This window comes from Homo sapiens, chromosome 4, assembly GCF_000001405.40.
Source record: "Homo sapiens chromosome 4, GRCh38.p14 Primary Assembly".
Taxonomy (NCBI): domain Eukaryota; kingdom Metazoa; phylum Chordata; class Mammalia; order Primates; family Hominidae; genus Homo; species Homo sapiens.
The window spans coordinates 76,007,518-76,019,824 of record NC_000004.12 but is presented as its reverse complement, the minus strand read 5'-3'; the positions used below and the strand labels follow the sequence as shown (position 1 = coordinate 76,019,824).

The window sequence follows — 12,307 nt, the reverse complement described above, 5'->3', positions numbered from 1 at the left end:
GTTCCAGCAATTCTACTACTATGTATATACCACAGATATTCTTGCATAGGACATACATCAGAATGTGATATGGCCGGGCGCGGTGGCTCACACCTGTAATCCCAGCACTTTGGGAGGCCGAGATGGGTGGATCACGAGGTCAGGAGATTGAGACCATCCTGGCTAACATGGTGAAACCCTGTCTCTACTAAAAATACAAAAAAATTAGCCAGGCGTAGTGGCGGGCGCCTGTAGTCCCAGCTACTCGGGAGGCTGAAGCAGGAGAATGGGGTGAACCCAGAAGGCAGAGCTTGCAGTGGCGCGATCTCAACTGGGATTACAGGGTGCCCAGCCAAGAATTGCTTTTTTATCAGATTGAATTTTTTTTATTTAACAAGCTTCAGTGTACAGTACACTGATCTTCCTAGAAAGAAACAATAAAATCTGTTGTAGTATAATTTTAACATAGTTCATTCAATTGCAAATACGTAGTTTATTTTTTAATAATGACTGTATTTTAAAACTAACTCACATAATTCATGAAAATCTAACCATTAGCTCTCCCTAGCCAATACAAGCCATCACCAGAATAGTACTGCTTTTATTCTCTGTAATTACTCTACTTTTCTTTTTTACTCCTTTCCTGAGTATTACAAAAACACACTTAGTTCTAATCTTTTTGATATTTTTCATCTTTTGGTGGGGCCATTTTTTTCACAAAGAATCTTATTATGTTCAAATTCCCATGACTTCATTGGATTACTTCCTTTCTGGCATATGTTCTTTTTTTTTTTTTTTTTCCTTGAGATGGGGTCTCACTCTGTCACCCAGGCTGGAGTGCAAATGGTGTGATCTCGGCTCACTCCAACCCCCACCTCCCAGGCTCAAGCAATCCTCCCACCTCTGCCTCCCATGTAGCTAGGACCACAGGCATGTGCCACCACGCCAGCTAAATTTTTTTTGGTATTTTTGGTAGATAATACAAATATGAGGCTTCACCATGTTGCCCAGGCTGGTCTCAAACTTCTGAGCTCAGGCGATCCACCCACCTCGGCCTCCCAAAATGCTGGGGTTATAGGCATGAGCCACCATGCTCAGCTCTGGCATATGTTCTTCATTTGCTTTGTTTAGATTCACTTTTATATGGCAATGTAAAATACAGTAAACTTGGTATTCCATTCATAGCACAGGGAGACTTTTCATGGCATATTACTTTGTATTTAATACTTCTTGAATTTTTTTTCTTTCCAACTTTTATTTTAGGTTTAGGGAGTACGCATGCAGGTTTGTTACATGGGTAAATCGTGTGTTGTGGGGGTATGGTGTATAGATTATTTCATCACCCAGGTAATGAACATAGTACCAGATAGGTAGTTTTTGAATCTTCATCTTCCTCCCTACCCCCACTGTCGAGTAGGTCCCAGTATCTATTGTTGCCTTCTTTGTGTCCATGGGTACTCAATGTTCAGTTCCCACTTATAAGTGAGAACATGCAGTATTTGGTTTTCTGTTCCTGTGTTAATTTGTTTAGGATAATGGCCTCCAGCTTCATCTCTGTTGCTGCAAAGGACATGATTTTGTTCTTTTTTAGTATTCCATGGTGTATATGTACCACATTTTCTTTATGAAGTCCACCGTTGATGGGCATCTAGGTTGGTTCCATATCTTTGCTATAGTGAATAGGGCTGTGATGACATACATGTGCACGTGTCTTTATGGTAGAATGATTTACACTTGTTTGGGTATATACCCAGTTATGGGATTGCTGGGTTGAATGGTAGTTCTATTTGAAGTTCTTTGAGAAATATCCAAGCTGCTTCTCACAGTGGCTGAACCAATCAGTACTTCTTTCAGTGATACAAAGTTAAAACCAGGTAGGAAAGATGGTCTTGAATGGCCAATGCCACCCCTCTCCCTTCCCCTGGCAGTGGCCATGAGGCACAGAAAGATAATCTGTGTGCTTGGGGGAACCCAGTCATGCTCTGTCACAGTGGAAAGCAAAATTAGGCTGAACTCAGTGGATGCCCATGGAGGGAGCATTTAGACCATCCCCAGGCAAAGGGGAATCACCCATCCTAGTGGTTAGAAGTTGAGTTTTGGCAAGTCTTGCCTCTGCTCGCTAAAGTGCTCTGGGGTCCTAAATAAATCTGAAAGGCAGTCTAGGCCACAAGGATTGCAAGTCCTAGGCAGTCCTAGTGCTGTGCTGAAGAGCCAGTGGACTTGGGGAGTGCACAACCTAGTTGGGGGAACATGACCTAATGAGACACCAACCAGGACAGCAAAGAGAGTGCTTGCACCACCCTTCCCAACTCCAGGCAACACAGCTCACAGCAATAAAAGCGACTCCTTCCTTCTGCTTGAGGAGAGGGAAGAATAAAGAGGACTTTGTCTTGAAACTTGGATACGAGTTCAGCCACAGTAGGATAGAGTGCTGGGCAGAGAGTCATGAGGCCCCTATTCCAGGCCCTAGATCTTGGATGACATTTCTAGACATGCCCTGGGCCAGAAGGGAACCTGCTGCCTTGAAGGGAAGGACCCACTGCTGGTAGGATTCATCACCTGCTGACTGAAGAGCCCTTGGGCACTGAATAACCAGCAGCCAATACCCAGGTAGTACACAGTGGGCCTTGGGTGAGACTCAGATATGCTGGCTTTAGGTGAGACCCAGCACATTCCCAACTGTGGTGGTCATAGTGAGAGATTCCTTCTGCTTGAGAAAAGCAGAAGGAAAAGTAAAGGAGACTTTTTCTTGAACCACAGGTACCAGCTCGGCCACAGTGAGGTAGAGCACCAAGTGGGCTCTTGGGCCCCCAATTCCAGCCTGGGCTTAGATGGCATTTCTGGACCTGCCCTGGCCCAGAGGGGAGCCCACTGCCCTGAAACGTGAGTCCCAGGCTGGGCAGCATTCACCATAAGCAGACTGAAGAGCCCTTGGGCCTTAAGTGAATATTGGTGTTAGGTAGCCTGTCTGTACATCCCATGGGTCTGTGGTGATGGGCATGAGTAAAAGGCTCCTCTGCCTCTGGAAAGGGGAGGGAGGAATGGGAAAGACTTTGTCTCATAGATTGAGTGCCAGCTTAGCCGCAACAGAATAGAGCACCAGGGAGATATCTAAGGTTTTTGACTCCAGTCCCTGGCTCCCAGACAGCATCTCTGGGCCCATCTGGTGCCTGGGAAAACTTGCTGCTTGCAGGGAAGGATATAAGCCTGGCTGACTTTTCCACATGCTGATGGTAGAGCTGTAGGGCCTTGAGCAAACACAGATGGTAGCCAGGTAGTGGTTACAGTGACATGCCTTGGGTGAGACCCAGTGCTGTGCTGGCTTCAGGTCTGACTCAGCACAACGTCAGTGGTGGTGGCCACAGGTGTGCTTGGTGTCACCCCACCCCCAACCCCAAGCAGCTCAGCACAGAGAGAGAGACTTCATTTGTTTAGGAGAAACTAAGGGAAGAGAACAAGAGTCGGCCTGGTAATCCAGAGAATTCTTCCAAATCTTATCTAAGACCAAGGCGGTATCTCTTTGAGTCTGCAAAAACTACAGTATTACTGGGCTTGGGGTATTCCTAACGCAAATATGGCTTAGATAGCAACACTCAAATATCTTCAAATATCTGGAAATATGTCTAGCAGCAAACTTTTCAGTGGAAACCTTACAGGCCAGGATAGAATGGCATAACATATTTAAAGTGCTGAAGAAAAAACATGTTTAACCTAGAATAGCATATCCAGTGAAAATATCCTTTAAACATGAAGGAGAAATAAAGACTTTCCAAACTCATTCTATAAGGCCAGTATTACCCTGATACCAAAATCAAAGACACATCAAAAAAGAAAACAACAGGCCAATATCTCTCATGAATATTGATGCAAAAATCCTCAATAAAATACTAACAAACCTAGGCCAGGCATTGTGCCTATAATCCCAGGCCAGGCTTGTGCCTATAGTCCCAGCACTCTAGGAGGCCAAGGCCAGAGGATCGCTTGAGCCCAGGAGTTCCAGACTAGACTGACCAACATGGCAAAAACCCATCTCTACAAAAAATACAAAAATTAGCTGGGCATGGTGGCGCATGCCTATGGTCCCAGCTACTCGAGAGGCTGAGGTGGGAGGATTGTTTGAGCCAGGTTGAGGCTGTAGTGAACCATAATCATGCCACTGCACTCAAGCCTAGGCAACAGAGTGAGGCCCTGTCTCAACAAACCAAAGCAAATCAAACCTTTATACATATAAGCTCATTAGGCCAGAGCTTAATTCATTTACATTTAAAGTTATTACTGATAAGGAAGGTTTTACTTTGCCTTTCAGCTATTGAATTTTTTAAGTGTCTTATTTTTTTGTTCCTCAATTTCTCCATTACTTCCTTTTTTGGTAAGTAGTTGAATTTTTAGAGTGTACTATTTTGAGTCCCCTCTTTTCTTTTCTGTATATTTTTAGTTATTCTCTTACTGGTTACTTTGGGGATTATAATTAACATCCTAAACTTGTAACATCCTAGTTTGAATACCACCTTAGTTTCAACAGTAAACAAACACACTCTGCTCCTATACATCTGCATCCCTCCCCTTTGACAATTGTTATTGTCACAGATTACAGCACTGTGTGCTCATTAATACATATTTATAATTATGGTTTTATGCATTTTTTAATTCACATAGGAAAAATGAGAAGGTACAAACCAAAAGTGCAATAATACTGGTTTTTATATTACCTACATAGTTACCTTTACCAGTATTATTCCTTTATATGGCTTGGAGTTAGTATCCTTTCATTTCAGCCTGCAGGACTGCCTTCAATATGTTGTGTAGAGCAAGTCTACTAGTAATAAACTCCCCCTAGCTTCAGTCTATTTAAAAATGTCTTCATTTCTTTTTCATTCTTGAAGGGTAGTTTTGCCAGATATAGAATTCTTCATTGACAGATTTTTTTTCTTTCAGCACTTTAAACATGTTGTTTCACTGCCCTCTTGCTTCCTTGGCTTCTGATAAGAAATCAGCTGTTAATATTATCTAGGATCCCTTGGATGTATATGATGAATCACTTCACTTGTTGCTTTCAAGATTCTCTGTCTCTTGAGTTTTAGCAGTTTGACTATTAGGTATCTCAGTGTGGATCTTTTTGAGTTTAACTTGCTTGGAGTTCACTGAGCTTCTTGGAGTCACGCAGATTCATACGTTTCATTGGATTTCGTTAGTTTTCAGTCATTACTTCTGTGAATAGTCTTCTGTCCCTTTCTCTCTCTTCTCCTTCCGAAACTCATATTAAGCATATATTGGTCCACTTGATGGTGTCTCATAGGTCTCTTAGGCTTTGTTCACTTTTCTTCATTCTTTTTTCTTTCTACTTCTCAGCCTTGAAAATTTCAATTGTCCTATCTTCAGATTTGCAGATTCTTTCTTCTGCTGGCTCAAAACTGCTGTTGAACCCATCTACTAAATTTTTTCACTTCAGTTTTGCACTTTTCCGCTCCATCATTTCTATTTGTTTCCTTTTTTATAATTTCTACCCCTTTATTAATATTCTCATTTTGTCTTGTTTCCTTTTGTTTTTTTGTACATGATTTCCTTTAGTTCTTTGAGTATATTTAAGACAGCTGATTTAATATCTTGGTCTAGTAAGTCCAAAGACTGTGCTTCCTCAGGGACCTCACCTTAACTTAATTACCTCTGTGAAAACCCTATCTCTAAATACAGTCACCTTCTGAGGTACTGGCAGTTAGGTTTTCAACATAAGCATTCGGTGGGGGAACACAATTCAGCCCCTAAGTTGTGTTTTCTTTTTTTTAATTATGAAGGAAATTAATTTAACAAAATGGAAAAAGCAAATATTTTCACTAAAAATGCATTAGAGCTTCCTAATCAAAATATGTAAAGAATTGATAGATATTTACAAGGTCAAAACTCTGACTCTACTTGACAAGTGGTCTTAAAAAGGTAGGAAATGCAGATGTTAAACCAATACAAAGTAAAATATCAATTTGTAAAGAAAATGGAATTAACACTAGTCTCTAGTGCCAATTTTCACATGCTAAATGAACAAAAGTAAATAAAATGACAAGAGGATTGTGAAACAGATACATCTACATACTGATAGCCCAATCTTTCTGGCAAGCAATCTGTCAAAATGTTACAGAAGATACAGAAACGTTTTTTAACCTTTGTCCCTACAGTTTCAAAGATGGGAAATACCCCAAGAGAGTAAAATCTTTTTTAAAATAGTAAGATCACTGTTGTATTACTGAGACATTATTGGAAACAACTCAAATACACAGAACTGAGAATGAAGAGGCTAGAAATATGAGAACATTTTACAAATATATAAACTACGTAGACACAAGGAAATGTTCAAGTAAAATAAGATTAAAGACTGGTGACAAGGGGCAGATGTATACACAGGGGTGTGTGTGTGTGTGTATATATAAATCTCATGTTATTCCCTTAGTTAAAATTCTGCAGTGTCTCCTCCCCACATAGAGATTCACAAGGCACTTCATCGTCTTGTTCCTGCCACATTTCTAGACCAATTTCTCACCACTCCATTATTCACTCTACCGTCCACCCTTGCTAAAGTACTTGCAGGTTCTCAAATTTGGCATACCTTCTCCTGCCTCTTGCTTAGAATATTCCCCCAACTTCTTCTTGTAACAAATTCCAGCCAATTCTCCTTTTCAGACCTAACTCAGACAGCTGCGTCTGAACCCATCAGCCAGGGTTGTGCACTTCTCTGTACCTCCAATTATTCTGTACAATCCTTTATCATACCACTTCTTCTATAATAAGTGTTAATGTACATGCTGTTTTCCCCCACTGAACTGTGAACTCTCTGAGGAAATCATTGTTCACATATGTGACCTCAGAGTCTAGAACCATAAGAATAAAAGTTTGGTGGATGAAATGAATGATAAACAGTAAATGAAGATTTTTAAGAATGTGGATTTTTTCTTGTAAAATTACTTACATATGCAATTTTAAAGTGACATTTTAAATAAGTATGGATATTTTAAGTATAAACATGTTTTCTTTTCAGGATAATTTTTCTCCAGGTTAGTCAGCAGCTTCTTAATGGCTATTGTTACATATCCTCAGACTACAAGCTGACTTGCCTAAAGTCACCAAGCAAAAATGTTGCTATTGTCAACATTTTGCAAAAGTTGTCCTTTACATCATGTCCTTAACATGCTCTCTCAAAACTGTTTATTCACAAACCTAACCCAGTCCTTAAGTTTTACATGAGAAATATAAACCAAGAAGCCAGATAATAAGATTAGCAAAGGAAGAACTTGGTCCTTTCTCTTAGTGACTTAGATGCAGACAGGATATAAAACCTCCCACAGCTAGGATTTGCCTGCATGTAACTCACCATGTTGTATTTAGGAAGGAAGGAATGACTCCCTGCGTGGGGAGAGGAGAGGGAAAAAGAAAAATCAGAATATTCTCTTGGGGCTTCTAAGACTTTCAAGAAATAAACCCCTTTCTAGTCAGTTTAATACTAACAACAGCTGCCGAGAGGAGGGGAAATCCACACTGTGAGAAATTCAAACAGGCCTGGAGGTTTCTTTATGAGAGAAACTTCTCCTCTCACAAGTAAAAAGGGAAGGCTCTTACCGTCCCTGCCACAGAGTCAGTCACACTGGATAATTAAACAGAACACCTCGATTCCACAACCAAAAAGATTCAAGAGGGAGGCTGGGCCACACTTGTGAAAACTAAGAATTCCGCTTTGTAAAGTTCTTTGGGGTTACATTAGCATTTGGATCCCCTACGGACACAGAACTGGAATTTTTCAAGGCACAGGAAGTTAAAATTCTTGTCCAAAAAGGAATTGGTAACTGTTGATTTCAACTCTAGATCATCTTTGGCTCCATTCCCAGGGCTGTGAGAAACGCCTGCAACATCCTCTCATCAGGTTTCTGTTTCTCCTAAAAGCCTTGTCTAGCCATAAATGCAACGATCAATGGGATTTTCTCCTTCCCGCTGCCTGCTTCCTGAGAGAATGTGGTTGCTCTCAGACTTTGCATGACAAGTTCCTAAACGAAGCCCAGGAAACTAGTGTCTGGACAGGCCTGAGCTGGGCGCAGCGGCCCCAGCCTGCTCAGAGGGGCGGGGCCCTACCCTACCATGGCAGAACAGTTTCACCACGAAGTAGGGTCAGGCGAGAGAAGCCCTCCCATTCCGCTTGCTATCTCAGAAAATTAGCCCCTTTTTGGGTAACAAATAAGATCTGGCCTCAGTGACTCCCAACTGACCCCAACACCTCCTTTCTCTTATCCGAAGGGCCTCTTTCCCAGTCACTGAAGCCCACGGCCCAGGGTTACCCCTAAGCCCAGTGCCCTGGCCCTTCTGGGGCCGTCGTTCCCTGCTGGCCTCACCCAAGCCTCGTGTGAAACCTGCAAAACGGGCCTCTTCGCTCATGGCCACCGCCGCTGAGAACCTTCCCACCCATCCCCAAAAGCACGGCCATCTCGGCTGGGGAGGCTGCGGGCCGCTCAGGGGACAGAGAGGAGAGATCCTGAAGGCACAACCCCTACCTTTTGCCCCCAAAGTGCTTCTCTTCGCCTCCGGCTGGATCAGCACTGGCAGCAAACGTACCCAGCGGCAACACGAGCAGCACGAGCGAGCGTCGAGACCTCCGGGTATAACCTCCTCACTGAAGAAGGTTCTGGAAGACCAGTTGGCTGGGCATGCGCAGTACACGCACCTTGGGCCCGGCTGAGGTCGCTGCGTGTGAGGCCCCTGGAGCCAGGCAGCCCTTTACAGACCCTATCCAACTTCCAGACCTGCCGAGCCAGCTCCCAGCTCCTTCCCTCATGCGTGTGCGCTTACTGGGTGCTAGGCACTGTGTTTAGCACCATGCTCAGACGGGGAGCGTCGCAGGCCTTCCTTGCCTAGTGGTGGAAGGAAATGTTAACCATAGGGTTGCAGGGAAACGTAGCGTTGCTGCGGACACGGGCTCAGCAAGGCCTCTGCAAGTGTGCGGTGAGAGCCCCTCTGGGGTTCAGGAAAGTCTTCCCAGGGAAATGATGCTGGCCTGGGTAACTATGGTGAGTAACTACTATGCAGGAGGGCAGGAATGAGGAGCATGCACAGTCGCTCCAGGCAGAAGAATGGCATGAGCAAAAACAGTGCCATGGGAAGGAGCATTGTCCCCTTTGAAAACTGAGAGAAGGGCCGGGTGCAGTGGCTCACGCCTGCAATTGCAGCACTTTGGGAGGGCGGGCAGATCACTTGAGGTCAGGAGTTCGAGACCGGCCTGGGCAACGTGGTGAAACCCGGTCTCTACTAAAAATACAGAAATTAGCCTGGCATGGTGGTGGATGCCTGTAATCCCAGCTACTTGGGAGGCTGAGGCAGGAGAATCGCTTGAGCCTGGGAGACGAAAGTTGCCGTGAGCTGAGATTGCACCATTGCACTCTAGCCTGGGCAAAAAAAAAAAACGGTCTCAAAAAGAAAGAAAAGAAAAGAAAAGAAGAGGGGAGGGGAAGGAGAAGGAGAAAAGAAAAGAAAACTGAGAGAAGACAAAGTGATGGGAGCAGAGAGCTGTGTAAGAAGAGGCTAGAAAGGTGGGTAGCACCAACAGTGCTGGGCCTTAGTTCTTATCCTAAGAAATTTCCATCCTCCTTTCTTTGCTGGAAAGAACAGCCACTAGCCCTGTGAGGCTTTGCAGTTGACAATCCGTCCTTGGCATTAATTTTAACACCCTGTGAGGTCTAATAATTTTCTTAAATGAGGGAGATGAAGCTCACAAAAATTAAGTATTTTGCACACAGTCATTAAGTGGTAAAGCAGGAACGTGAACCTATTTGCACTCTATGCATTGCCACAGTCAGTACCAAAATTAAGCATGAGCAAATGGATAAGCTGTATCAATGGTCACCACATGTTTTATTCAAAAAGAATTCTGTAATTCCATTTAAGTATTAATAATCTGTATAGAAGTCAGTCAAAAAATGTGCACCATGTGACATGAAATGCTAATATCCATTTTCCTCCAATTCTACAGCATGCATTGTCAATGGGAAGAGAGGTAAATTGCTCCCAAGGGGGAAAATATTGGTTCTTGGAGAGCTAAAAAATTTTAGATATTGCAATGACTAGTGGCCTACCAAGGTTCAACCCTACCCAACAAAATCTTATTTCTTAGCATTTGATTTCTCTCTTCAGGAAGAAATTAAATTTAGTTTTCAGTTCATTTTATTTTTTCTCAGAGCAAGGTGAAATGTGGGGGGGTGTGTGTGTGTGTGTGGGTGCACATGCGCGCACACACGCATGCAGTGCTGAGTCCATAATGAAAAAAAACGTTGAGAAACATTGTTTTACAATAAGGAAATCTCCAATCTTTAGCTAGTCAACCAAAATAAAGATGACGTTTCTTAACTTCCCCTACAACTAGGTGTAGCCATGTGATTAAGGCCTGCCTCCATGGGAGGTGATAGAAAATGATGGGTGCAACTTCTAGGATGTCTAAAAAGGAGGGACATGCCCTTTTTCTGCCTTCTCATCATCCTATACCTGGAAATTGGACATGGTGGCAAGCCACCTTTGGCCATGTGCATGAGGGCAGCAATCTAGAGATGGTGACAACACAAGAAAGGAGAAGCCTGGAAGACCTCATGGGAAAGAGCCACTATCCAAGTGCTAATCCACCTACATCTCTCAGGGAGAAATAAGCTTCTATCTTAGCCACTGTTTTCTGTTGTTGTTTTTTTTTTTTTTATTTTTCCATAAGTTATTGGGGTACAGGTGGTATTTGGTTACACGAATAAGTTCTTTAGTGGTGATTTGTGAGATTTCGGTTCACCCATCACCCAAGCAGTATACACTGCACCCTATTTGTAGTCTTTTATCCCTCACCCCGCTCCCACTCTTCTCCACAAGTCCCCAAACTCCATTGTATCATTCTTATGCCTTTGTGTCCTCATAGCTTAGCTCCCACATACCAGTGAGAACAGATGATGATTGGTTTTCCATTCCTGAGTTACTTCACTTAGAATAATAGTCTCCAATCTCATCCAGGTCACTGCTAATGCCGTTAATTCATTCCTTTTTGTGACTGAGTAGTATTCGATTGTGTATATATAAACCACAGTTTCTTTATTCACTCATTGATTGATGGGCATTTGGGTTGGTTCCATGATTTTGCAATTGTGAATTGTGCTGCTATAAACATGCATGTGCAAGTACATTTTTCAAATAATGACTTCTTTTCCTCTGGGTAGATACCCAGTAGTGGGATTGCTGGATAAAATGGTAATTCTGCTTTTTAGTTCTTTAAGGAATCTCCACACTGTTTTCCATAGCGGCTGTGCTAGTTTACATTCCCACCAGCAGTGTAGAAGTGTTCCCTGATCACCAAGTCCACACCAACATCTGCTGTTTTTTGATTTTTTGATTATGGCCATTCTTGCAGGTGTAAGGTGGTATCACACCGTGGTTTTGATTTGCATTTCCCTGATCATTAGTGATGAGCATTTTTTCATATGTTTGTTGGCTATTCGTGTATCTTCTTTTGAGAATTGTATATTGATGTCCTTAGCCCACTTTTTAATGGGATTGTTTGTTTTTTACTTAATGATTTGTTTGAATTCATTCTAGATTCTGGATATTAGTCCTTTGTCAGGTATATAGATTGTGAAGATTTTCTCCCACTCTGTGGGTTGTCTGTTTACTCTGCTGACTGTTCCTTTTGCTGTGCAAAAGCTCTTTAATTAGGTCCCAGCTATTTATCTTCATTTTTATTGCATTTCTTAGCCACTGTTAATTTGGGTCTCTTACATGCAACTGACCCCTTATTCTAACCAATTTATTAGTTTAAAAAATAATACTGTAGCAGGAATGATACAGAATGAGCTTACCACTAGTAGAAAATGACCTGGTCCCAGAGGAAATTAAGGTGCTTTAAGTTGTTAAGTGGGCAATATAAGAAAATATCAATGTAGCCATCTATTATACAGAAGAATATGCCATAAATAGTAAGGGAATTTGAAAAGTATATTATTTATCTGGACTTTAATATTTCCCATCTGGAAACCACATCTCCAACCTTTGTTGTATAACATTAGTATATTCATTATATAACCTATTCTTCACACAGGTGAGCAACTGTGAATGTGCCAAAGGCTATCAGTGTTGCTAGTTTCACATCCCTTACTATAAACCACCCATTTATGTGAAATGGAAATAAAAACATGCAGAAATTCCCTTGGATCTGAGACTAGGGTTTCCCCCAGCACAATCAAGTTTGTGGTCAATTTAGTTAGCTCAGCTAAAGATACTAGCCAATCAGAGTTTAGGAGAGAAATGAATATCCTAAATAAATATGATCCCCAAAATG

At 42.3% G+C, this 12,307-nt stretch overlaps 1 protein-coding gene across 15 annotated transcripts in view, besides 4 other annotated features; it reads right to left on the bottom strand.

Moving 5' to 3' along the window:
• ART3 (ADP-ribosyltransferase 3 (inactive)) overlaps window positions 1–8,635 on the bottom strand; it is a 101,597-nt gene extending 92,962 nt beyond the window's left edge. For all 15 annotated transcript variants that reach the window (XM_047415697.1, XM_047415700.1, XM_047415695.1 and 12 more), the window contains exon 1: window positions 8,505–8,635. The gene's annotated coding sequence lies outside the window, so the exon portion shown is untranslated. The remainder of the gene's footprint in view (window positions 1–8,504) is intronic.
• Window positions 2,242–2,741: an enhancer, noted in NCBI's record as "H3K27ac hESC enhancer chr4:76938237-76938736 (GRCh37/hg19 assembly coordinates)". NCBI's record gives its function as "activates a minimal SCP1, AML or CMV promoter by ChIP-STARR-seq in primed H9 embryonic stem cells {active_cell/tissue: H9 hESC(primed)}" and the evidence as "EXISTENCE:reporter gene assay evidence [ECO:0000049][PMID:30033119]".
• Window positions 6,220–6,339: an enhancer, noted in NCBI's record as "active region_21625". NCBI's record gives its function as "activates an Ori minimal core promoter by ATAC-STARR-seq in GM12878 lymphoblastoid cells {active_cell/tissue: GM12878}" and the evidence as "EXISTENCE:reporter gene assay evidence [ECO:0000049][PMID:35858748]".
• Window positions 7,714–7,773: an enhancer, noted in NCBI's record as "active region_21624". NCBI's record gives its function as "activates an Ori minimal core promoter by ATAC-STARR-seq in GM12878 lymphoblastoid cells {active_cell/tissue: GM12878}" and the evidence as "EXISTENCE:reporter gene assay evidence [ECO:0000049][PMID:35858748]".
• Window positions 8,061–8,705: an enhancer, noted in NCBI's record as "H3K27ac-H3K4me1 hESC enhancer chr4:76932273-76932917 (GRCh37/hg19 assembly coordinates)". NCBI's record gives its function as "activates a minimal SCP1, AML or CMV promoter by ChIP-STARR-seq in primed H9 embryonic stem cells {active_cell/tissue: H9 hESC(primed)}" and the evidence as "EXISTENCE:reporter gene assay evidence [ECO:0000049][PMID:30033119]".